At 41.6% G+C, this 26,151-nt stretch overlaps 1 protein-coding gene across 15 annotated transcripts in view, besides 9 other annotated features; it reads left to right on the plus strand.

Moving 5' to 3' along the window:
• GNG2 (G protein subunit gamma 2) overlaps positions 1-26,151 on the plus strand; it is a 143,622-nt gene that overhangs the window by 13,761 nt on the left and 103,710 nt on the right. For 6 of the 15 annotated variants that reach the window (XM_047431488.1, XM_047431487.1, XM_047431485.1 and 3 more), the window contains exon 1: positions 20,678-20,856. The exons of 1 other annotated variant lie outside the window; for it this stretch is intronic. The gene's annotated coding sequence lies outside the window, so the exon portion shown is untranslated. Of the gene's footprint in view, positions 1-7,228; positions 7,445-17,533; positions 17,654-20,677; positions 20,857-21,389; positions 21,457-26,151 lie in introns of those variants that run through there. 8 more of the 15 variants (XM_047431486.1, XM_017021377.2, XM_024449633.2 and 5 more) reach the window with 3 other exon arrangements.
• Positions 4,253-4,392: an enhancer, noted in NCBI's record as "active region_8376". NCBI's record gives its function as "activates an Ori minimal core promoter by ATAC-STARR-seq in GM12878 lymphoblastoid cells {active_cell/tissue: GM12878}" and the evidence as "EXISTENCE:reporter gene assay evidence [ECO:0000049][PMID:35858748]".
• Positions 4,433-4,522: an enhancer, noted in NCBI's record as "active region_8377". NCBI's record gives its function as "activates an Ori minimal core promoter by ATAC-STARR-seq in GM12878 lymphoblastoid cells {active_cell/tissue: GM12878}" and the evidence as "EXISTENCE:reporter gene assay evidence [ECO:0000049][PMID:35858748]".
• Positions 4,543-4,642: an enhancer, noted in NCBI's record as "active region_8378". NCBI's record gives its function as "activates an Ori minimal core promoter by ATAC-STARR-seq in GM12878 lymphoblastoid cells {active_cell/tissue: GM12878}" and the evidence as "EXISTENCE:reporter gene assay evidence [ECO:0000049][PMID:35858748]".
• Positions 7,177-7,276: an enhancer, noted in NCBI's record as "active region_8379". NCBI's record gives its function as "activates an Ori minimal core promoter by ATAC-STARR-seq in GM12878 lymphoblastoid cells {active_cell/tissue: GM12878}" and the evidence as "EXISTENCE:reporter gene assay evidence [ECO:0000049][PMID:35858748]".
• Positions 7,607-7,666: an enhancer, noted in NCBI's record as "active region_8380". NCBI's record gives its function as "activates an Ori minimal core promoter by ATAC-STARR-seq in GM12878 lymphoblastoid cells {active_cell/tissue: GM12878}" and the evidence as "EXISTENCE:reporter gene assay evidence [ECO:0000049][PMID:35858748]".
• Positions 8,228-8,377: an enhancer, noted in NCBI's record as "active region_8381". NCBI's record gives its function as "activates an Ori minimal core promoter by ATAC-STARR-seq in GM12878 lymphoblastoid cells {active_cell/tissue: GM12878}" and the evidence as "EXISTENCE:reporter gene assay evidence [ECO:0000049][PMID:35858748]".
• Positions 20,165-20,244: a silencer, noted in NCBI's record as "silent region_5741". NCBI's record gives its function as "represses an Ori minimal core promoter by ATAC-STARR-seq in GM12878 lymphoblastoid cells {active_cell/tissue: GM12878}" and the evidence as "EXISTENCE:reporter gene assay evidence [ECO:0000049][PMID:35858748]".
• Positions 20,297-20,798: an enhancer, noted in NCBI's record as "H3K4me1 hESC enhancer chr14:52326949-52327450 (GRCh37/hg19 assembly coordinates)". NCBI's record gives its function as "activates a minimal SCP1, AML or CMV promoter by ChIP-STARR-seq in primed H9 embryonic stem cells {active_cell/tissue: H9 hESC(primed)}" and the evidence as "EXISTENCE:reporter gene assay evidence [ECO:0000049][PMID:30033119]".
• Positions 20,585-20,794: an enhancer, noted in NCBI's record as "active region_8382". NCBI's record gives its function as "activates an Ori minimal core promoter by ATAC-STARR-seq in GM12878 lymphoblastoid cells {active_cell/tissue: GM12878}" and the evidence as "EXISTENCE:reporter gene assay evidence [ECO:0000049][PMID:35858748]".

Raw genomic sequence — 26,151 nt, forward strand, 5'->3', positions numbered from 1 at the left:
GTCTTGCAACTTCAGCGAGTTGTAGGATGCTCCTGGGGAATTGGTCTTTGACTGACTGTCTTGCAATAAGCATTAGAAATGTGTTATAGTTTTGTATCAATTACTTGCATCTGGCAACCAGGGTACTGTGAAGGACTCCAGAAGGTATAAGAGTACCTGTAAGAATGGCAGAGGTGAGTTTCTCATGTCTGGTGAAATCACTGCTCCACCTGGGTAGCTCCATCAGTAGCTAGATGTCATCGTAGGAGCTGGGAATATGGAAGCCTGTACCTCGGTCTGGGAGCATGACACTTTGTCTTCTCCTTTACTCCCAGAACTTTCTTCATCCCTTATTTTATCATTAAGAAGCTTTATGTTCCTGTACAGTGTCTGTTGCATCTTTCTGTCAATCATGTCCCCTGTGACATCTATAAAATGTTCCACACAAAATCTACCACCAACAGAGAATCCAAAGTAGCTCCTTGAGCCCATTTGTCTTCCTCCCTCTTTATTGGGCAGAGTCTTGGTTCTCCACTCTGGATGCAGTCCCCAAAGTTGCCCAGTTCCCAGTTTACTGACAGACTTCTCTCCTCTGTAAATACCTCATTTCTGTTCTCCCTCTTCCACTGGTGCCCCAATCTCAAACTCTCTGCATCTTAAATTTTGCTTCTCAGCCTTGTGCCTGGATTGTCATTCATTCTGTTGCCTCCAAATATTTCCTGAGGTAGAGTGTAAGGTGGTTTTGGACTCAGTGAATGGATAAAGAGAGAAAGAATGTACTTCTGTCAATCTGCCCATAGGTCAAGCAACCAGGACAGTAGCCAGACCTTTCAGAGCTCTGTAAATGACTGCCTTTTAGCACATCTGCTATTCTTATATGCCAGAAGACAACCCCCTTCTTTCTTTTATATCAGTTAGTTATGTTAGATAAGCAAATCCCTGAAGCTTCTCCTACCTTACAATATCCTGAGCCCTAAAGCTAGGTTCAGTCCCTCATGTATAATGCTACAACAATGTACTACCTTTTACCACAGCGAATCTAGATTAATTGGAGTCTTCACATATCTGGTAATTTTTTTCCGAGAGCAGAAGTCACAATCATACCAGGAGGAGTGACCACAAATGCATAATATGAAACCCAAGATCAATAAAATACTATGATTGGTCAGTTTAGCAAGTAAGAAGATGGGTAGTTATTTATACATAGGTCCATAACTGGCAGGCAAAGAAAACTCCAAACTTACAAATGGAGGAAAATGCAAGAGAATAGGAGGGAAAAACAAGGATAGCACCACAGGAGACCCCCACATTTTAAGTAATGGTTCCCAAATGTTACTCTGTGAATCAGCTGCAACAGGCCCCTCTCCAGACTGACTGAGTTAGAATCTATGGCAGGGAGTCCAGGAATCTAGACTTTAAAATTTCTCCCCAGGTGATTCTGAATATTTGACCAGGTTTGGGAACCCTATGTTTAGAGGCTGCACCAAACAAACAAACAAACAAAAAGCCTGGCACTGTTTGTTCTGTATGAATTCATATAATCCTCACTGTAATCCTCTAAGGTAGATACTATTTTTCTCTCCATTTTACAGACAAGAATCCCAGAGCATAGAAAAGTCACACAGCTAATTAAGTGTTGGAGCCCGGATTTGAACCCAGGTAATCTGGCTTTGAAGTCCACAGTAATATTTCAACAGAACCATTAAAAGGAAAGAAAACAAGCAAGCAAAACATTAAGGCACATGAAAAGGGAAGGGTAGGATGGAGGCAGATGAGAAAAATCACTTTGTAGGAAATAGGAAATTATTGTGAAATAGACATGACTTCCAGCATATAGAGGTAGGTATAGATACAAGGAAATGCTTTTCTTTGGGGCCATACGATGACAACTGTGATCTTAATGACAGTTCCAGGCAATGCAGACTCCATCAAGAAAGAAGAATAAATTGTGTCCAATAGACTGCATGAAAATTATATTATTAATATATTTAAGAAAGATGTTTAATATAAGTTAACTGTTTACACACAGCTACCCAGAAAATCCCATCAAGGAATACAGGCTGGTCTCTGAACATTCTGTCTAATGAAGTTTCTAAGTCACTGTATGTTATTTTCCTATTGTCAAGAGGGCCTCCTTTTTAGCTCTCCTAGTTGGTTACCATGATGTCATGCTTATTTGCTCTATCCTGACCTAAATCATAATAAAATTGAGATCCTTCAAAAATCCTCCTATTCAGAGCCAGAACACTAAAAGCTTATTCAGATATGAGACTATTGTCCTGATAATATCTAGTCTAGACATAGGGATTCATGCAAGAAGGTACAATTAGAATCTTTTAGTCTGGCGTTGATGTCTTGAAATACATTTTCTAAAAAATTCAATTTTAATACATGTTATTTTGTAGAGAGAACAAGGAAGCATCTTCCCCAGGTCTTCACCAGAACAGTTCATTTGTTTCTTCTTTCTACAGCCTGTAGAGCTGTCCAAGTTGTGCTCAGCAATAATGGAACCTATGACTGGCAGGCAGAATTTCTTTTGCAGCAGCCGCAGGGCTCCGCACACGCAAACGGAAGTGCTCAGCAGCTGGGACACCCACTGTCCCAGTGCCAGAGTAGCTTTTCCTGAGGTCCCACCCCAGTGGTCACAGACCTACTCAGGGCTCAAAATTTATTTAACAAGATGGTTGGTTGGCCTATGTTACCACAAATGGCCTGTGTGTGACCCTTTTTCAGAGTACAGTTATTTGCCAGAATTTTTTTTTTTTTTTTGAGACAGATTCTCACTCTGTTGCCCAGGCTGGAGTGCAGTGGCACAATCTCGGCTCACTGCAACCTCCACCTGCTGGATTCAAGCAATTCTCGTGCCTCAGCCTCACCAGTAGCTGGGATTACAGGCACACACCACCACACCCAGCTAATTTTTGTATTTTTAGTAGAGATAGGGTTTTGCCGTGTTGTCTAGGCTGGTCCCGAACTCCTGACCCCAAGTGATCTGCCCGCCTCGGTTTCCAGAAGTGCTGGGATTACAGGCGTGAGCCACCACGCCTGGCCTATTTGCCAGAATTGAAGGAAAATTTTCTTCTCCCTCTGGAGAACTCTGCTGTTAATCTTGTTGCCACTAAGGTAGCAGGCTGAGATGTTGCAGCTAAAGACCGCAGAAGAGACTAACAACCCAATTAAGTTATAATTAGCTGAACTATTTCAGGTGTTTTTAATCAATGCTCTCCTTTCCGTAAATCATAGGAAAGGTCTTCAGGGGAGAGGGAAGAAATGATGCTTCTATATTAATGCAAATATACACTTGTTGAAGGGCTGGATGAAGGCACAAACATCTACTTGGTTGTCTTACTCTTGGAATTAATGCTGACCTCCTCTTTCTTGCTCTTCTCTCTCTCTTACCTCCTCACAGACATACCCAGACACCTGACTGCCAACTGCTATAGAAACCCCTCATATAGAACAATGAGAACACATGGACACAGGGATGGGAGCATCACACACTGGGGCCTGTCGGGGGTGAGGGGAGGGAGAGCATTAGGACAAACACTTGATGCATGTAGGGCTTAAAACCTGGATGACAGGTTGGTGGGTGCAGCAAACCACATGGCATATGTATACCTATGTAACCTGCACGATCTGCACACGCATCCCAGAACTTAAAGTTAAAAAAAAAAAAAACTCAAATATTTTGAGTGTGTCCACTCTGCTCCTGCCCTCAACCCTACTTTCTTTCAATGCCTATCCCACACTGTTATGGGGCAGTCTTTCCAACATGCAAACCCAGTCACATCAGTCCTCTTGACTAACAGTTTTAATGGTTCCTCATGTTTCCATTTTGATTGAATTGCCATGGAAGGTATTTCCTCAATTAACCCCAGCCCACCTCTTCAGTCCACCCCACCCACACAGCCTGGCCTTTTGGTCCCACTATGCCAAGCTATTCATGGCTCACAGAATAAGCCATGCTCTGCCCCAACTCATGCTTCCAAGCAGCCAGTGGCCTCAGCCTGCAAGGCCCCCTTTCTCCTCCCCACCCCTTGGTCACCACCTTGGTTTCCACCGTGGCTCTAAAGACTCTTCTGGTGACTCAGGCAAAGGAAATGTATCTCCTTTCTGTGCATCTCCTGGCTGTGTGTTCTCTTCTCAGTTCGCTCTGCTCCTTCCTACTTTGTTCTCGTGGCTGTCCCAGATATTCAACCAGTTTGATTGAAGACATTCAATTTGTTGAGGCAGAAACATGGAGCAGTTTTATCTTGCAAATGGCTGCTACCAGCTGTGTGTTCCTGTCACTGGCTCTCCTTTCCCTCTAGGGACCCAGTCCCCTTAACAATATTTGATTCTCTGTCATAACTCATAAGTCGTCACTTGTGTTTATTAAAACAATCTGGTCTGGTTTCCCATCTCATATATGGTTCAAACTCTCTCTCCCCAGGGTAAGCTGGACTAGGCTGGGTAGGGGGCAGATCTTATGTCTGAGACTGTCCCCTTCTGACTCATGATGTCACAGTGAAGAGGAGGAGGAGTTTCTCTAAGTCATTGTTTTCTTCATTGGCTTCAGTGGAGCTGAAGTTGCTGGTGACTCTGCTGTTGTTGACAGCCCTGTGTGTGTGTGTGTGGGTGGAGAGGAGTGTTATATAAAGAGTTAATATGGTCAGATGGAAGCCCCAAAACCTCCACGGAAGAGGACTCAGTTCCAAGAAGGTCCCCTGAGCATTGGTGGTTCCTTCCCGGGAGAACCTACCATAGTTTCCAGCTGACTCCCAGCTGGAGGCACCACACCATGGCCTTGGTATCTGTTCCTCTTTACCTCCTGCCACAATTTCTTTTTTTGAGGCAGAGTCTCACACTGTCACCCAGGCTGTAGTGCAATGGCATGATCTTGGCTCACTGCAACCTCTGCCTCCCAGGTTCAAGTGATTCTCTTGCCTCAGCCTCCTGAGTAGCTGGGATTACAGGCGCACGCCACCAGGCCCAGCTAATTTTTTGTATTTTTAGTAGGGATGGGGTTTCACCATGTTGGGCAGGCTGGTCTCAAACTCTTGACCTCGTGATCCTTCCACCTCGGCCTCCCAAAGTGCTGGGATTACAGGCGTTAGCCACCATGCCCAGCCCTCCTGCCACAATTTTTATTGAAACAACTTGGTGCTCTTGCTTTGATTTAAAATAGATAAAAAACACTGAATTTATTGTGAATTGTTTTTTTTCTCTTGGCTCTCTTAAAAATCTGTTTCTCTATGGGCTAAATTAGTGTATCATATGGGCCAAATCACTTTTTAAAAATAGGTAATTTTCAATCATAAATAAAGGCTGGTGCAGTGGCTCATGCCAGCACTTTGGGAGACCAAGGCAGGTGGATTGCTTGAGCCCAGGAGTTTGAGACCAACCCGAGCAACACGGCGAAGCCCTATATCTACAAAAAAATACCAAAATTAGTCAGGCATGGTGGTGCGCATCTGTGTGGTCCCAGTTACTCAGGAGGCTGAGGTGGGAGGATTGACTGAACCCAGGAGGTCAAGGCTGCAGTGAGCTGAGATCATACCACTGCACTCCAACCTGGGTGACAGTGAGACCTGTCTCAATAAATAAATAAATATCCATGGATCTTTAAACTATAATTAGATCTTAGAGGCAATCTTGCCCAGCATTTCTCAAAGTATGCTCTGAAGAACTACGAGAGATTCTGTGAAGGCAGTACTCAGTGGCCAAATACGTTTGGGAAATGCCATTCTTATTCTGTAGAACTCCCTCTCAGAGAGTCATCCCAGATGTCAGAATATCAAAAGCCCCGAGAAGTCCCATGGTAAATAAACCTGGTCAATGTTCTTGAACCTAAGATTTTGCAAAATGATTTGAGCTCTGAATTCCCCATCTGCACTTTTTACCCTGCGTGCCACCTATTGATCCAGTTTGGGACGTGCTGGCCTGAGTGATGAGTCAGTGGTATATGCTGGAAATAATATTAAGAAATGGTAGTTACAGGGCTGGATCCATCCTCTTTGTGCTCTGTAGTCCCCCGGGCACAGAGTTTTGTCTCGACATCACTGCTCCAGCATCTATAAAACATGGGACACTCCAGTTCATTGCAGCTTCCACCTTTGACAAGATAGGTATTACAAAATGACCTTGTGATTCAGCTGCCAAAAATTAACAGTAAAGCACCAGTAACTCTGTGAATCCTACTAGATTCAGTTTTTAAAATGTATAAACCATTTGTCAAAAGGCAGAAAGGTGGATATTGGAAAAGGAAAAACAGATTAATTTTAAACTACTTGACTCAGATATAATCATGAAAAATCAAGGAGGTGAGTTATCAACCATTTTAGTTTTTGTATATATTTGGAGTAATATAGAATATTTTTTACATACAATTTTTTTCACACACAAGTTCTCATCATACATATTACTAAAGATGGATAATACCTAGGTTATGAAAACCATATAAACCTGGATTAATCAATTTTTCTTATGTGGTTTTATCAGGCTGTTACAAATCAATTTTAAAAAGACAGGAAAGCAGCTAAATTTGTTGTTAATTCTCTGAAGTTGTTGGATAGAAGTAAAAATTCAACCTCAACCCCATATTAAATTCAAGCATTTGGAATCTTAATTCTAAAATTTAGAACTATAAAAAGAAGAACATTCTAAAAAAATGTGTGTGCGACCTGTTTTTTGCTTTGTTTTCTACCTAACTTAATTCTGCCACCCAGCTGAATATTTCAGGTTTCCTTGGTGGAACGCAGGCTGAGTGCTGAAGGGCTCTAGTCACCTGAGAATGGCATCTGCCTGCCCGTCACCATGCCAACACCCCTGGCTACAAAAAAGGGATTTCCCCTTTTTCCAGTCTTCCCTCCCATGTGGGACAGGTGCATGCACCCCTACTCCAGGAAGGGCACCATTCCTAATTACAATTGCTTCCTTCCCTCCACTTTTGTGTGAGAGAAGAAAGCTTGAGATGCAATCCTTTGTCTTTTCAAACATGATTCTTTTGGTTTTGTTTTGTTTTCTCGCTATTCTTACTGACGTCTTTGTGTGGTGCAGCGGCTGGGATCCCACTGCATCTACATGGCAACCAGGAAATCAGTCATTCAGAGTTTCCATGGTAACCAGAGGGGGGGAGGGGTGGAAAAATCCATTTTATCACGGTATGCTGTGTCCCTTCCTGGAAGCCTACAGAATTTTTAGACAGAGGTCATTATGAAATCAACAACAACAACAAACGCCCGTTGGCATCAAGACAGGCCTGTGAACTGGCATCCCCAGGCAGGCTGCAGACTGGGAGGGTGGGAGTGAGCATGCAGCTGACCCCACCATGAGGCACAGGGCGTCGCCTTCTCCCCTCAGCACAGAGGAGAGGTGACGAATGCCACTTGGTCTCTGCAGCGTCTGTAGAGGGAAGTCTGTAAGCGGGAGTGTCAACCCCAATTGGCAGATTCTCTGACACTTCAAGTCTGCAAAGGAAAAGCAGGTAACCGACGTTGTGTAAGAAGTGAGCCTCTTGGTTTGGGTGGGGGCACAGCTCTACTTTTATGGTAAGAGTAGCCCTGACTACGGAAGTGGGCTGAAGGGTGCTGTCCCAAGAAAAGCGGAAGTATCTGTTGAGTCTTGTTTCCTGTCACATCCTGGAGCTGAAGGTAGTCACATTTCAAATTTAAAAAAAAGAAAGTCATGTGAAGTTAACCAGTGAGATTATCTTTTACAGGCAGGATAATTAGAATCCTCAGTGGTGTAGAATCTTCCACCTACAGGCGGGTTGAGTTTTATCACAGACGAGAGGGGCCATGGACCCTCAGAAGGCCTTAGCTCCTGGATTTATTTAGTCTGACCTTTGGAGAGTCAAATTACCAAGAGGTGATCGCACTTCCAACTAAAATTGAGAATGTGCTCCTTGATTTTAAAAAGTCTTCTAATGGCGATATTCTAATAGGCCAGGACATAGGGATGTTACTCTATGAATACAGGTCCTTTTTCTTTTTTTTTTTTTTTTTTTTTTTTTTTGTAAAATGAAAAATTACCTCTCATCTTCCTTTTTAACAGTGGAAGATTAGGCTTTTCCTTTTTCCTCTTTGGAAATTGAGATGAACAAATTCTTGATTTCCTTCCCTCTTCACTCCACACTGCCCCCTCCACTCTCTTGAGTCCATCCTAGTAAATAGCTCCACCAGTCACCATTCACTTTGGAGTCTTCCTCACCCTTACTCTCCTTCCCTCACATCCAAGTCAGCAGCAAATTCTTATAGCCCTAGTTTCAAAATAGAGCCTGAATCCAATCTCTCCCCCTTGCCTTTACTATTTGTCATCCTAAGCCAAGCCAACATCATCTTTCTAAATTCCAAAAGGCCCTCCTCATTGTTCTAGTTTCTATTTTGGCTAGCGTCATTCTGGTCTCACAATGCAAGTCAGATCATGTCATGCCCTTGTTCAGACCATTTCCCACCCCGTGGCTGTACATCACACTCAGAATACAACCGTGACCAACAAAACTCTATGAAGTATAGCCCCCGACTACTGCCCCATCCTTATACCCTATGTGTGCATTCTGCTCTATCCATGCTGACCCCTCCTTGATGCTTCTGAACACACCCAACTTCTGCAGTCTCAGGGGAGAGTACTGTGCACTTGTTGAAATATTCTTCCCTAGATGTTAGGAGGCCTCCTCTCACTTCCTTCAGGTCTCTGTCTAAATGTCTTCTCCTGCAGGAGGATGTTTGTATCAGCCTGGGTATATTAGGAAATAGAAGGCACACCATTTTTAGGAGAATGAAGGGAGTATTTACAGAGGTATGTGTGGGGATCAGGAAACCAACAGCAAGATCTGATGCCACACCTAGGCTCGAATGGGCTAGTGTTGGAGGAATGCAGAGATTTGCAGTCCTGGACACCTGTGGGGCTGCCCAGAAGAAGTTGTGGTTCTTGAGGAAGGAAACCAGGACCAGAGAAGAATGCTGAGGAATAGACACACTGACCTCACTTTCTACCCGCTGGTCTAACACAGATGGAAATCAGAGATCGAGGGAGTTGGAGTAATGAAGTACTGGGTACTATACAAGTTATCTACTGGTATATAACAAATGATCCCCAAAACAGCGGTTTCATACAATATATACTTTTTTTCTCTTATAGTTTCTGTGGGTCAGGAATTTGGGAGCAGCTTATCTTAACATTTCTGGCCCTCAGTCTAACTTGAGGTTACAGTCAAAATGTCAGTTGTTTGAAGGCTTGTCTGGGGTGGAGGATCCATTTCCAAGGTGGCTCGCTTACATGGCTGGCAAGTTGGTGCTGGTTGTTGACAGGAGACCTAAGATCCTCCCCACATCGACCTCTCCACAGGGCAACTTGAGTGACCTCACAACATGGCACCTGGTTTCCCCCAGAGCAAATGCTCAAGGAGGCCAAGGTGGAAGCTACAGGGCCTGTTATGACCTAGCCTTGAAAAATCACACATTGTCACTTCAGCCACATTCTATTAGTCACACAGATCAGTTCTGACTCAGTGTGGGAAGAGACTATACCAGAGTATGAACAGTAGAAGCCAAGAAATAATTGAGGGCCATCTTGGAGAGCAAAGCAAAGTGGAGAATGAATTGAAAAGGGTGAGGGAGGAGATGGCGATCAGAGAATAACCAGCACCCTTCCTTGATCATTCAATTTAAAATACTGGGTACATTCCTGCTGCTCTGTTCCCCTTCACTGCTTTATTTTTCTTCTCAAAATTTAATGCTACCTGACATATTTATTTGTTAATGATTTTATTTTTGCATTCCCTCACTATCATGTAAAATCCATGCGATCAGAAACACTGTTTTGTTTCCTTCTGGCACCTAGTAAACTTCCAATAAATATTTGTATATTCAAATGTATAAATTATACCTAATTTTAGATACAAAGCAAATGCTTTTTTTTTTTTTTTTTTTGAGACAAGGTTTCACTCTGTTGCCCATGATGGAGTGCAGTGTCATGATTGTTGCAGCTCATTGCAGCCTCTATCTTTTGGGCTCAGGTGATCCTCCCACTTTAGCCTCCCAAGTAGTTGGGACTATAGGCGGGTACCACCATGCCTGCCTAATAAAAAATAAATGCTTTTAAATGGCCAATTCCAGTAATATCCCCATCCTTTTTAAACCAAAAAGTTGTTCCTCCCAACCCAACTCCATCCCTAAAAAGACTAATACTAATCACGGAATTAAAACTTTGTTTCTGGGAGTTTTGAAAGCAGCATAGTTGCCTCTTGGTCCTTTCTCTTTCTTCAGCTTCTGTTGTTTTCATTTGGCTGTTCCTTGGAGATTTTATTTTTGTTTTTTGCACTCCCACCCTTAATTTTAGAAGCAAGTTTTCATATTTCTTCCTCTTAAAGTAAGTTGCCTCTTATGTGGCTGTTAAAATTGCCTGTTTATGTGGCTCCCATTTGAGTTCTCTTTGCGGCAATCTTATTTAAAAAACAGCTCTCATGAAAAAAATAAACCCCTCCCTCCTAATCTTCTTCCTTATTCTCTTTCTTCTGTTTATTCCTGAAATCTACCAAGTGTACCAGTGAAAATTTCTTGTCTTCTGTGGCACATATGAGGCTAAAAAATTGCTGACCTATGGTTACTGACAGTCGGAGGAAAAGAACAGATTACAAGCAGAAAAACATTTCTTCTGGGCACTGGGGAACATGTAGAGTCCATTGTATTAGGCTGTTCTTGCATTGCTATAAAGAAATATCTGAGACTGGATAATTTATAAAGAAAAGAGGTTTAATTGGCTCTCCATTCTGCAGTCTGAACAGGAAGCATGGTGCTGACATCTGCTCAGCTTCTAGGGAGGCCTGAGGAAGCTTACAATCATGGTAGAAGGTGAAGAGGGTTCAGGCACATCACATGGCAAAAGCAGGAGCAAGAGAGAGAGAGTGGGAGGGGGGTGCCACCCACTTTTAAGTGATCAGATCTCCTGTGAACTCAGAGTGAGAGCTCACTTATCACTAAGGGAATGTCCCAAGCCATTCATGGGGGATCCACCCCCATGATCAAAACACCTCCCACCAGGCCCCACCTCCAACACTGGGAATTACAGTTCAACATGAGATTTGGGTGGGGACAAATATCCAAAGCATATCACCTGCATAGGCAATGCCAACCCACCGTGGAGCTTATGTACACAATGTTATCCCAGTTAATTGATTATAAGAAAAGGCAGCCTCAGGAACATTTGCACCCAAATCTAGAGAGGGTGGAAGGATGATTTTTGTCCTCCATCAGCCCTAGAAACTGATGACAAATTAACACATTTCCAGATACCAAGTGGGAGAAACCAGCCCCTTAGCTTATAAAACAGGTTCCCTTGGAGCGGGGAGATAATCTGGTGTCAAAAGATATAACTTGGCTCCCCATATGCATACTCATCATTCTACACAAAATCTACACAGAAATCTTCATTGTAAATGCTTTGATCATAAGATGCACTTCGTATCACCATCAGCTTTTGACCCAATGGTACTGGAGCAGCAGTTTTGACTCTTATACTAAGAGTACATACTAACCTCATCATTTACTTATATCATAAATGGGAACAGTGAGTTTCTATTGTTCTTGTGGAGTTCATTTACTCATTTGACAAAGATTTAGTGAGTGCTTACTGTATATCAGGCACCATCAAGACCCTGCCTGATCAAGAACACAATTGTTCTTTTCCTACAGACTTAAGGGTAGAAAGATGTTTTTATTTTCCCATCTGATGACTGTCATAGATGGTGAGTCTTTGAAGAGTTTCCTTAGACAGTTATTCCATAATGAAATGGGAGTCTGTCTCACTAATAAATAGATTAAGCAAATATGTCCATTCTGAACACTTTAATTTCTTCTTTAAAATCTTATCTTTTCTCTAGTGGTGCCTTCTCAGCTGTGGGGCATGAACAACTTTCTTCTCTCTTGCCTATAGTATTTGTGGTTATTGCTGCCACGTCCTTCAGATATAAAACCATTGATGTATGTAATCCTTAAATAAAGGTGCAGGTAATGTCATTTTTCCACTTTTACATCAGCTCTGCACCAAGTGTGTTGCTGGAATTTTGGCAGGATTTACTGAAGTCATATTATGCTGTTAATTTTCAGTTTATGCAAATCTACTTTCTAGATGTAAAAATTTAGCAGTGAGGGTGTACGTAAATATTTTAACGGTAAATAAATGACTTGGCTGTGGTCTGGGTAAATTTCAGTATTCTGAACTAGGAAGGAATCAATGACCATAACTGATCTTGAGCCTGTAACTCACTCTTTTCATTGGAAAATAAAATCATAAACAATAATGTATAATGAACAAACTTGCCATACTAACAGATACTATAGGACTTTGTTAACATTTTAAAAATTAAAAAGAGCCCTACAGAAACTTGACTTATCTTCCTCCTCCTAAAATGAATCTCTGGACCTTACTTGTCATGTTTTTGCCTTTATTCATATATGCAAATAAGATTTATTGCACACCTACTGTGTCCTATGCACTGAGCACTGTGCAAGGCACCAGAGATACAAGACTGAGTAAGACATTACCTATGAATTCTAGGATTTCACATGTGGTTGAAGATAGAGGTAAATGTGCAATGATAATACAATGTGATAAGAGCTATAACCAGGATGAAGAAGTGGTAATTTGTCGGGGCAGGGGAGGGGTCCCTAGCTTAGTCATTTTCCTTTATAAAACTGCACAAAAATAGTAATTCGCTAAGGAATCTTAATTATAGATTATTTTTGCCAAGTCAATAATTTGAGACTTACAATTGTACTCTATACTACATAATTCTTCTCTGTTGAAATTTCCCTGTGTAATCATACAAGTAATACTTAAAGAATGTTGAACAGCTTCTTACTAAAGTAACGGAAATCATTTTAGCAACATTTCATGAGAAGTGTTTTGCATCACTGCAAATGTACCTTCAGAGTTCACAGATTTGCCAGAAGAGCAATCAATTGACAACGCTTTCCTTCATAAGAGCTTTCTACATATAGTGGGACTTCATTATCATCTAAGTCAAGAACAGATTTTTTTTTCCTGCTGGTTTAATGTTATTACTTGGTCGGTAACTTCAGGGTCTTTCCTTTTCCAAAATCACTATCACATTTCCCCCCTTGCTACATCCTCTTCTCATTTTTTGATTTCTGGGGACATTTTTGGTAATATTTTAAGCAGCCTTAGTAGTTGTTCACTCATTCTCTTAAATTTTTAGCTGATTTTATAAAATGTTCTGGTATTTTCAAAATGGTCAGTAGTGGTCATAACTTTCTTCCATAGGACCTAATTGTTTATATTCAGTTAAAGTTAACAAACAAATACTGAGTGCACGCAATGTACAAAGTGCTGTGCGAGGTGGGTGCTGAAGATGAAGAGATGCGAGACCTAGCCCTTGCCCTCAGGGAGTGGCAGGTCTAGTTATCACACTCTAGTGGACTCTGATGAAAGGGACACATTCACAAGCCATAGTTCCCTCCACTGCTATGGTTCTGTTCGTGAAATTCTGTCATAGAAAATTCAAAATGAGAACCTGAAAACTTAGGTACAGAATAGAGCCAGAGGAGCCAAGGAAGGTCACAAGTAAATTTATGAAAACCCCTTCCAGTAGGGAAATCAACAAAGACATAAAGAAAAATGCCTTCAAACAGCTCCTTTAATTTCCTATCCTCTTTTGCCAACCTATTTACTGACAAAATAGATCACACTGTCTGGTCTACATTTTTGGCACAGAAAAACTAAGTCTTGCCTTTCTGCCTTGCCTATAAATTATTGGAGTTATTATTGTATAGCTTTTCTTTCAAGATACTTCAAAATGACTTACATGTGTGATATTAATCTTGCAGATTTGTATCCTTTAATTCTGACATTCCTTTTAAAGGACTATTTTTCCAAGGCTTTGTGGGTGCACAGTGTTCTCTAACCTCTGTCACACTTTGCTGCTAACTCCCTCTTCTTGATCTTGTTGCCCGTTTCCTGTTGTCCCTGAATTTCTTTTTTTTTTCTTTTTTTTTTGGGACAGAGTCTCGCTCTGTTGCCCAGGCTGGAGTGCAGTGGCACTATCTTGGCTTACTGCATCCTCTGCCTCCCAGGTTCAAGTGATTCTCCTGCCCCAGCCTCCCAAGTAGGCGTGCACCACCAGGCTAATTTTTGTATTTTTAGTAGAGATGTGGTTTCACTGTGTTGGCCAGGCTGGTCTCAAACTCCTGACCTCAGGTGATCTGCCTGCCTTGGCCTCCCAAAGTGCTGGGATTACAGACGTGAGCCACCATGCCCGGCCTATCCCTGAATGTCTATATTGATCTTCAGGGACTTTGTGGAAGCAACAAGTTTTACTTCGCAGAATCAGTGTTTCTGTTTTTATGGTAGTAACACATTTGGTTTAAATTCTTTCACCTGACCCCAGTCAATAGCCCAGCTCCAACTTCTGCTGGTGGAGGAAGGGTTTGGAACAGTTTCTGCTTATGGGAAGACCAGAACTTCAGAAACATACAAGGCAGCCCTGGTCTGGGGAGTGTGGAGCCCTTGTTCCTAGTAGCCTGGTCAAACTCTCTCTGGGCACAACTGTTGGTATCCACAGCAAGGCCTCCATGGCTCTTTTTTAAATTTTTTCTTTGTTTTTATTTTTATTTTTTAGGTAGAGTCTTGCTTTGTTGCCCAGGCTGGAGTGCAGTGGTGCTATCTTGGCTCACTGCAACCTCCTCCTCCAGGGTTGCAAGCAATTTTCCTGCCTCAGCTCCCCCCGAGTAGCTGGGATTACAGGTACCCGCCACCACGCCTGGCTAATTTTTGTATTTTTAGTAGAGATGGGGTTTTGCCATGTTGGCCAGGCTGCTCTCAAACCCCTGACCTCAAGTGATCCTCCTACCTTGGCCTCCCAAGGTGCTGGGATTACAGGCGTGAGCCACCGCACCCGGCCGGCCGTGGCTCTTTCTTACCTACTTCCGGCTCTGGCTATGCCTCCCTCCCGTCTTTTGCCTTCTCCCTGCCTGTGTCCCTCTGTGCTACTGTCCTCTTCAGTAAGACCTCAGGCTTCATGGTTAGCCCTCCTCCAGCCGCCTTCTTCAATCTCCATCTACTCTTGGCCTCCTTACCCATCCCCTTCCTCTCCTCATCAACATTTATGTTTGTTTTCTCGTGAGGGGTTAGGAAAGCAAGCATCTTTAACTCATTCATCACCGATAGCCTCCCCAGGAGTGTATGTATATATGCAACACACACATGTATACATATATGTGTGACATTTCAGGCAATATCAGAGAAGGATCTGGGGGGCTTCGCACTACTGGCTGTGCCCAGAGCAAAAGGAGAGAACTCATGGTTCCAACACATTTCTCTCTGATGAAAGAGTTGGCTATCACTCTTCATGTCCCTTGTCCCACTAGCTTTCGTGCTGGGCCGTGAGACAGAGACTGGCATTTTTCATTAGTGAAGGCCAGGCACTCTCTCTCCAGAAAGATTAGTTCTGCCCACCCACCCCCTGACTCTCTTCGAGCCAAATATGATTCAGTCTTCTTGGCTCCTAACAGCTGGGCTTAGGCTCAGATGTCTGGAGGGAGAGAATGATCCTGTGACACACAGATCAGATCATGATTATATCTTTTTGAAGAACTCTTTAAAGAGGCTTCTATTCCCTTTAGCTGATCCAAGAAATGCCTGGAATTCTAGCTTTTCTGTGATAAAATAACAGCTCAGTAATTTATTTATTCTTGATTACTATTCAGCTGAACAATTAAGCAAGCCATTAAATGTACCATCAATGTGTAAGAGTGGACAAGATTTATGACTACATGGATTTACCTTTTTGTTCCCATTTTACTCTTCCTTCTTCCCTGCAGCCCACACATGCACTCAAGGGCTGGCTTTGCTGGCACAGCTGATGGCTCCTTTCTGATAGGAAACAGAGAGAGAGAGAGAGAGACTGACCAACAGACCTACCTATCAAAGCTGAGACAGGGAAGAAAAAGTAGGGAGGGCTCAGCCACAGAAGGCAAGTCAATCAAAAAATAAAGAACTAGGCTGTAATCCCAGCACTTTGGGAGGCTGAGGCAGGTGGATCACCTGAGGTCAGAAGTTCAAGACCAGCCTGGGCAACATAGCAAAATGCCATCTGTACAAAAAATACAAAAATTAGCTGGGCATGGTGGGTTGGCACACGCCTGTAATCCCAGCTACTCGGGAAGCTGAGGCAGGAGAATCACTTGAACCTGGGAGGTGGAGGTTGCAGTGAGCTGAGATTGTGCCACTGCACTACACCCTGGGTAACAGAGCAAGACAGTCTCAAAAAAATAAAAAATGAAAAAATAAAGAACTAGCTGGGCATGGCGGGGGAGGAGAGAGAAGGAGGTGTACAGCATTGCAGAGAGATTAAAGAGTTTGGGGATTTGGCATATGAGATGCTCTGGGACAGTTGGAATGTGGCAAAGATTTGAGAGTGCAGAAGGGGATGTGAGAAGTGTTTCTAGCTTATTCATCAGTCTCTTTAAAGTTCCTACAGAGATACAAATAAAGAATAGCTTTCTTTTTAATATTTCTTTTCTTTTTTGTTGTTGTTGTTCGAGACGGAGTCTTGCTCTGTTGCCCAGGTAGAGTGCAATGGCAAAATCTTGGCTCACTGCAACCTCTGCCTCCTGGGTTCAAGTGATTCTCCTGCCTCAGCCTCCTGAGTAGTTGGGACTACAGGCGTGCACCACTACACCCGGCTTATTTTTGTATTTTTAGTAGAGATGGGGTTTCACTGTGTTGGCCAGGCTGGTCTTGAACTCCTGACCTAGTGATCTGCCTGCCTTGGCCTCCCAAATTGCTGGGATTACAGGCATAGGCCACTGAGCCCAGCCTTAATATTTATTTTCTAATTACTTTTTTGTTGCCAGACTATGCTTCTTTATAAGAAGTTCAATGCAGAAATGGAACTAGGAGTTGTCCCAGAATTTTTTAGGCTTGCCCATATAACAAATATTCAGAATTTTGTGTGCATGTGCCATGGATTTCTATAGAAAATTTGCAAAATATATATATAGAGAGGGAGGGATTTTATTTCTTACCCCATGACCAACTTCTCATTTTTGAGACTTCCTTTTCCTCCCCTCACTCAAAGGAATGGAATTTCTGCCAATGATGCCTTTTCATTATACAAACATCTGTTGACTCTGCTGTGTGACAAGCAAATGTGGACCTAACCTTAATGGACCCAAATGCTAATGGGTGAGATGCACATCTAACAAAACCTGAAAATAATGGCTTTAGTGCTGAAATGGAAGTAGAGGCAAGGCACCAGTCATACTCACAGAAAAGGAAGCACCTGCCTAGTTTCCACGGCCAGGGAAGGCTTCTGAGAAAAGCTGAGTCCTAAAGGATAAGTAGGGGTTTACTAGCAGGCAAAATAGAGGAAGGGATAGGGCATTTCTGGCAACAGAAATAGCATGTGCCAAGATGCAGGGAGAAAGCAGCACAGTCCCATCAGGAACCTGTTGTGAAGGTTGTAGGATATAAGGCTGCGACAGGCCCTAAGGTGAGAATGTGGACAGGTGACATCACAGAAGGCTTTGTATGCCATGCAGAGGAATTAAGGCATATATCCTGTAAGCAACCTGGAGGGGAAGATACTGAAGAATTATAGTAGGAAAGTGACTTGATCAACTCTCCATCTCAGCAATGTACTTCTGATGGGGATGGCTTCGAAGAGAGACTGGAGGTAGGAGGACAAAGTAGAAAGTATTGTAATTGCACAGAAAAAACCAAAGCATTTGTAAAATAAGACAGTGGCAAGAGGAAGAGAGAGGAGGGGTTTGGGCAAGGAGATAGTTTGGTGGTGAGAAGGAAAGGAAGAGGAACTTTAAATCAGATTGGGATAACAAAGATAAAAGGTTTTGGGATTATTCTTATATTCCTGATGTGGGCAACTGGTTTGTATTCCTCATTAAATGAAATGGAGAATATAGAAAGAGGAACAGGCTTTGGATGAAGGTATAGTACATAATTTGGGGATTATTAAACATAACTCCAAGGAACATCCAGCTAGAAAGCTCAATAACATAGGAGAGACATCAGGCCAAAATTATGTCCTCCTCATTACCCAACCTCCGCTACCAGTAGATGTAAGAAATACAAGGTATTAATGCCTGCAAATAGGCCATGCATGAATGTTAGAGTATTTTACAGACTTTGTTTTACCCAGTGATAAAATGTACTGGGATAGGCTCATGGTTAGCAATTGATGCATAAACTATTAATGGCGAGATGTCATTTTCCTAAGAAATTAACACTTTGCAAACTTGGTATGCAAACTTGTGTTAAGAGCTCTAAACTGGATTAATCTATCCTGGCCAAGCTATACCCCCACACTTTACTTTTCTCTCCTGAAAAAGAGGCTATTAGGACCAGTTGAAAAGCAATGAGGTATTAATGAAAGAGAGGTCTTAAAATCTAGTTTTTAGCTTTGTATAGAGTTTTGTTGGCACCTCCCAACACTGGCGATTAACCTACTGTGAGTTTTATAAGGGCCAGAGATGGAAGAACTAATTAAAAGGCAGCAGGCAAAATTCCTAGAGATTTTATTGTTTGAAAGAGGTTTTCCTATATAGGCTTAAGTATAAATACCAACCTATATAGGCTTAAATATAAATACCAACCATCGGAGGATGGTTGAGAGAGAGTTAGAAACAAAAAGACACAAAAAATTACTGTACTTGAATCTAGAGTTTATGCCAGAACCTACTTGTCTAAAATTAACCATAGTCTTGTTTCCAACCATTAATAACATGCTTCTCATTTTTCTTAGACTTGGCATCATGCATATTTAAATTTACATTTAAAAGTTCCTGGTAACCTTTGGCACAAGGGTTCCTGGTTTGGAGATAACTCACATGTTGGTGGATTCATGCCCAATCCCTCTCACTACTGCATTTCTATCTGCTGGTGGATCAAAGCTAGTTGCTCATTTTCAATCTTAAATCAATCCATTTTGTAATTTTCAGGTGTGAGTGAGTTGACATCAGGGTCCTTTTTGATGAAAGATTTCCTTGAAAAAATAAGCAAACTGTTCAAATCAAAACAAAGGGTGTTTTGGGACTGTCTCAGAACATTTCATAGAAATTAAATTCTGTACCTTCTAGGTTAACGTGCTGTGGTCCTCACGATGTGTTTGGAAGGCTCAACTGGAGAGTTATTCTCCATCAGTCCTAGATTTCTAACATTTCCTGTTAGTTTACTTGCTGGAGGATTAAGGCAAAACTGGATTAAAAAGGAGGAGTTGGGGAATTAACTGTTTCCTGGCAAGATTAGCTTTCCAGGCACTGATTCCTGAGAAGAGGTGTTTTTTGTTGTTGTTGTTTTTGTTTTTAACTCCATAATGTTGCCTGGACACTAGAACAGGATTCCCCTTCCCCCATCTCATGTTTAATCTGTAGCTTCCCCAAAGTACCTTGTGTTAGTACTAGGGGGAGAATGACTCACACGTTGAATAAATTGTTATTAAAGCATCTGGGCTCAATTGTGAACATACTAATAGTGAGGAATTGGAAAACCAAGTACTGGTGAGGGTTCGGCTGCTGACTGGCGAAATCACTTGCTGAATGTGAGGCCCAACATCCTCTAAAAATAATAAGAGTTAATATGTGCCGAATACGTCCTATATCCCCAGAACTATTATTAGCACCTTGTATACCATCTCATTTAATCCTCATATTTCCAATGTAGAGCATGACTATCATCAACTATGTTTTGCAGATGAGGAAACTGAGGCACATAGATGTTAAATAATTTGCCCAAGTTCATACAGTCATTAATGGCAATTTGGATTGAAATTCTGGCAGACAGAGACAGCTTGCAGGCTCTACCCTGGTGGGTTCTACGATATTACCTCCTAAGATGAAGGGAAGGGACTGGAGGATCATGAGGGTCCTTCAGCCCTACTAGTGTGTGTGGAATGGGGAGAGGAGTATTCAGTTTCTCTGTTGGGAATGTGCAGCATTCAGCACCACCTCATTCCTTCCCATCTATGAGAATCTTTTGGGAATAGTCCTCACTATTAGGCCTATAGGTAGCATTGCCAACTTGGTTTAGTTCCCGTGCCCCATAAGAATACTTATCAGGGCCATTCTTTTCTGAGCATGTGGGTTAAGTAAGATCTCAGTGGTAGTGGGACCTTGGAGAAATGAAGCCTCTGAAATGTTGGCCACAGAGAAAAATGCTGCAGTGAGAAGCTGCAAGCTGCAAGCTGCAAGCTCCCAGCTAGCTGGCTTGATGGGGACCACAGTAAATCAGGAGGAACAGTGGAGGCTGGTGTGGGATCTCGGGGGCCAGAACCTGGCCAGGGGATGTTGACCCAAAAAAAAACAGCAGCAGCAGTAGAAACAACAACAGCAAGAACAACAATAGCAACAAGCCAGGTTCAGGCTAAAAAAGCAGGCAGTGTGCCAGGAAGGGGGCCGACTGAGCAGTGTGTGGAAGCTGTCGTGGAGGTGACCGTGGGGGGATGAGAAAAGGGGAAGGAAGGAACAGACAGCACCAGAGGGACTTGAACAAAGGGAGAAGGGGGATTAAAGTCAAATCACTGTCAGCAGCCCAGGAGCAGACAAAACCACCAGAGTAAGCCCTGAAATGGAAATGAGAGGGAAAAGAAGCAAGCCGCTAACAGCTACCAAGAAGAGGAGGAAGTGGGAGATGCGCTGCTTCCTGTAGAAAGAACGTTGATTGAAGACAAAGCTGGGTGGGGACTAGTCCCTGGGCTGCAGCCGCTGCTACACATACTCACAACGCTGCCGCCGCGCTCCGTGGGCAACTCCTACTACTGCTGGGCTGGGCTGGGCTGGGCTGGGCTGCGCCGGAGCTCGCCTGCACAGATCAGCTCCGGAGAGGGGAAAACCACGCTCCTCGGACCAAGCCTCGGGAGCTAAGGTAAATGAAACGTTTTCCATGTTGCTCGTTTTTAATTGAGAAAAACGACCGTCGCTTGTGGTTTTAAGGTCCGATTTCTAAGGGATGATAGAGACATCGCTTCAGGACTAGGGGAAATGATTAGATTCTTTTGGAAGGGTCTTTGAGAATAACCACATTTATGACACATTTGATTTAAAAAAACCTCATCATCAGTGCTTAGATTTGATGACTAAACAGGCCAACATGCTAAATACAAGAAGCTGTTTGTATAGTTCTCTCGGAGGAAAACCAGGGCTGAGTCGAAATCCATCTGGGGCTGTGAAGCTGTGGTCTGGTCATCGGAGCCCGGCAGTCCCCTTGTTTTAGGGGAGTGAGTGGTGTAAAATATTAATTGCATTCTCTTTCTTACACATTGCACTGGGATATCTTCTGTTTTGCAAAAATAATGGCTGTGATTTGGCTTTTGGGGGAGTTAAATTCTTTTGTACTTAGATTTTGCCAACAAAGGCTTGAATTGCGTATGTGAGGGGCAGTATTTACCATTAAAAAACAGTGTCTTCCTCCCTCAGCTTGTGCAGCTGCTTTCAGGATAACCTCAGACACAGCTATCATTTGCCAGTAGGTCTTATCCTAAAGTTGCATCCTTGTTCAAAGGAGCGTGGCGGGTTTAAGGCCAGTAACTTGTCCAGAATCAGATACTAGCATATGCATGGATTTTATGTTTATATGCATTTTATTCACCTCTAGGTCAAGGTGCATGTTAGCCTCGGTGAGGGACAAAATAAAAAAGTGCAGCTGGGTTGTTTCCTTACGCGAATATCTGGTAGATAGACTGAAGTAGTAAAACCAGAACATGATTTTTATTCTTTGATTTTCTTGAGCAAAGGATGTTCTTAATGAGAGCCTGGGTCTATGACTTGTTCATATTTATGAATGATATGTAAAAGTACACTAAATAGGTCTAGCAGATGAGAACTGAGATTGTGAGATTCCTCTGACAGGATATATTAGGGAGTTTAATACCCTCATGCAGCACGATTTAAAGAATTAAGCTTTTTTAATCTTCAACAGAAAGTACAGTTAAGCAGTAAGTAGTCATTGATAAAAGGGTTTTTCTTCTAGAGTTTCTATAATGAAAGGAGATAATTTTTCAAAAGAAAGAGAAAAAACTGCTTATAGTGGAGTAAAAATTTAAAAAAAGTCAATATTTTGACACTCACAGATTCTTGAAACATAGGTTCTTAGATACCAAATATGCTAGTTGAGAGTGTATGTATGTATATGCCTCCTCCTTTATCATCGTTCTCACTTGTTAAGAGCTATAGGGCTATTTTTAATGCTATCTTTATGAAATCGATATGGCTTCTCAAAATCTGTGGAGTAGCAGCACATTTTGAGAGATGGGAAGCTTTTATAGCTACTAAAGAAAAAAAAAGTCTATTTCTCAGAGGTTTTTTGCTCATTAAAGTAAACCTGCACCATGCCTAAGAGACAAAGTACTGCTAGTATTGAAACCATGGAACTCCTTGAAGGATTCACTGAATTTAATCAAACTTGTGGGCAAAACAAGTCGTGACATGGATTTTGCAGTTCCACTTCCTATTTGCATCTTAAAGGGAAGTATGTAAAGATCATCTTCTTAGAGAAGAGACCTAGGATAGATCTTCGATCCAGAATGACCCAGTGGAGTTCTAGAATCAAGCTGTGCATCATGAAATGAAGTAAAAAGTTGGCAACCTGAGCTGCATGGATAAGGACAGGCTTACCCTTTGGTACTTACTCCTCTGCAGGCTGTATTCACTAGATAATGCCAACACCCTACTTTGTTTGGGGAGGCACAGACAATCTGCATTAGTCTTCTGTGTGTGTTTCACACATGAGTAAGAAAATGAAACCTTGCCCGACGGGCATAGTAGAGTCAAGAGGGCCTTGCTATCTTTCTGAAAACAACTAAGAGGTGCCTATTTTCTGCACAGCACAAAACATTTCTTAATCGTTAAATTCCAGCTTGAAGCAGAACATTAGTGAGTAACAGCAGATCAGTAACTATGATGGTAGAATGTTTAGGAAAAAGATGAATATGCTTCTACATTGTAAAATGAAACTATTTCCACTTATTCTGGCCATATGGAATATTGAAAGACTTAATGATTTTTCCTGGGGTATTCACTGGCTTTTGAGGAGTAGACCAACACAGAAATTTTAATTGTGCTTTTTTTTTTTTTTTCTGCCATATGGCCAATGGCTGAATGGAAACATGACTCCATTATTTCATTGCCAGCCTTGGGCCTCATATGGTGGACATGTAGTGAATGTGTTTGTTTGACTGACTTTGTTTAGCCTGCTTCAGAAAGCAGGCCCAACTTTTAAGTCTAAAAGCTGTATAGTCAAAGTAGAAAGCCTGTTCATAAAAGACTTCTGTGGGTAGGAGAAAACACTGTGGAGTGAAAAGAACGCAGGCTTTGGAGCCAGGCAGATCTGCCTTTGAAACCTATTACTGGTTCTTACTACTTACCTTGGTACATTAACTTAGGAACCTCAGTTTCCTCATTGTAAAGAAGGGCTAGTAATACATAATCAAAGTTGTTGTTTTGCTTTGTTTTTGCTTTTGTGTGCGGATAAGTGAGTGATTTCTACATAGAAGGTACTGAAATGTTATTTTTTTCTTCCTTGGTGGCATAAGGAAAAGTTAGCATATTCTTGGTCTTTACCACTGCCTCACAGGTTTAGGGAGACTTTTTTTATAGTGATAAAATATACATAACATAACATTTCCCATTTTAACTATTTTTTTAAGTATGCAGTTCTGTGGTAGCGAGTACATTGATGTGCTGTCATCACCACCGTCCATCCATAGAACTGTCTTTATCTTGCAAAACTGAAATTCTATACCCATTAATCAATACCTCCTCTTTCCCTCCTTCTCTCAGCTCCTGGAAACCCCCATTTTACTTCTGTCTCTATGAATGTGACCAAGTATCCCATATATGTGAAGTCATACAATATTTGTCCTTTTGTGACTGGCTTAATACACTTAGCATAATGTCTTTAAGATTCATCAATGTTGTAGCATGTGCTAGAATTTCCTTCCTGTTTAAGCTGAATAATATTCCATTGAATGTATAGACTATACTTTGTTTATTCTCTTTTGATGGACACTCGGGCCATGTTTTGGCTATTGTAAATAATACTGCTATGAACACGGGTGTACAAATATCTGTTAGAGTCCCTGCTTTTACTTCTTTTGGGAACCCAGAAGTGAAAATGATGGAACACAGTAATTATATATTTAATTTTTGAAGAATTGCCATACTGTTTTCCATAGCAGCTGCACTATTTTACATTCCCACCAGCAATGAACAAGGATTCCAACTTCTCCACATTCTCATCAATATTTATTTTGTTTTTTATTTATGTTTTTGATAATAGCCATTTTAAGAGGTATGAAGTGGTATCTCTTTATGGTTTTGATGAGCATTTTCCTAATCACTAGTGATGTTGAGCATCTTTTCTTGTGCTCATTGGCCATTTGTATATCTTCTTAGAAAAATGTCTATTCATATTCCTTGCTGATGTTTTTCCCCAGAAATACTGTGTTGAGAATATTTGCAAATTTTTAATCAAATTTTTGAAGAGACATTTGCAAATGGCAGGATCTTTTAACATAATGTGTCATTAGATAATAATCATAATCTTCGTATTTAACCTCCTTTATACAACAGTATTATCCCTGCGTAAATAAAATACTCCTCTCAAAAGTAACATTTGAAATCAAAAGGACAGAGTAAGAAAATGTGCATAGCTTCTGCTAGTTGGTGATGTCCAGAACCTGATAGTGAAATTCAAACCTTTATTGTAGACAGTCACACCAGTGATTCTGCTGGTCAAATCTCAGACCAGGCTACCACTACGGAGGCACTGGAGAGCTGTTTCTTCAGTGCTTTTCTGGTCCCCTCATTAGAGAAAAATGCTCAGTAGGTATCATGGCCAGAAAGGGAGGGGAGAAACTAAAGTACTAAATTGCTCTGAAATCCTTTATAAGGGGGAGCAGTAACTTGTGGGGAGGGGCTACAGTAGTTAAACAATACAACAAGTTTCTGAGACAACAAGTTTCTACTAATGAAGTGTGATCCTAACCAAAATTTCACTTTTAAAAATAATGAATCCTCTGTTTCCTTTTCCACGACAGATTTTACTCCTAATCCTTAAACTGGTGAGGCAGGGTATGGTGAGGCTGAGGAGAGCTGGGCAGAACAATTAGCAGGGACCCTATTGAATAGCAACAGTATCTGAGCTTTACGATGTGGGGTCAGACGTTGACCTTGAATGGTTTGAAGAGCTCCTGAATAATTAATGTTAACTTTCTGTAATGCACTTTGTCCATGTGCTGGGGGCCAGGGGTGGAGGGAAGTTTGCAAATAATGACCCCTAATTTTATTTAATGTGCACATCTATTCATTCTACAATTACTGGGAGAAGCCAGGTGCCTGTCTTTACTAGATCTGGGTGGGAGAGGAGAGTTGCAGAGCTGTGTCGAGATTTAGTCTCCACCCTCCCACCCTCACCTCCAAGATGATGACTATGTTAATTAGCCTGATTTGATCATCACAATGTATACATGTATCAAAACATCACATTGTACCCCATAAATATACACAATTTTTATTTTTCAATTAAAAATATAATAAAAAATTTATAAAGGACTTAGTCCCTGGCCTAGGACATGCTAGAATGGTAGAGCTAAAAATGATCTGGGGGGTGACCTAGCCTATATTGACCTCTTCATAAGGGATAATAAAATAGGCCTGGAATTTAGAGTTAAACAGTTCATTAATTCCTCACCTCCCAGTTACAACTCCATTTCACTTACCTCATATTAGGGCAAAGTCTTTATATGTTGTCACATTTAAAATTGTTTGTAAGACTAAAATATTTTGTTTAAAAAAAAAGAGTAGACGGTTTACATTTAGTACCCTATGTAAATATGGAGTTTCTGTGTACAAACTTGTTCAGGTGTGAAAGATGCCACTGTGGAATAGAGATTTAAATTTTCAGGTAAGAGTATTAGAGATATCTGTAAATATATGGTTCTTGAAAATTCTTATGTTAAAGACAACAAGTTGTATTTAGTGGGAGTCAGTGTTCAGACAATCTCTAGAGGACTTCATTAAACACTGAAAAAAAAAAAAGGGAGCTCAATTCTCAAACTTTAGTGATAACATGTTTCTTAGAAGTGGTACTACTGTATACAGAGGCTGGAGATAAGACAGGATCAGCCCCTTTATCTCTTGGCAAATATGTGTAAACAGTCAA

The sequence above is a fragment of the Homo sapiens genome, chromosome 14 (assembly GCF_000001405.40).
Source record: "Homo sapiens chromosome 14, GRCh38.p14 Primary Assembly".
NCBI lineage: Eukaryota > Metazoa > Chordata > Mammalia > Primates > Hominidae > Homo > Homo sapiens.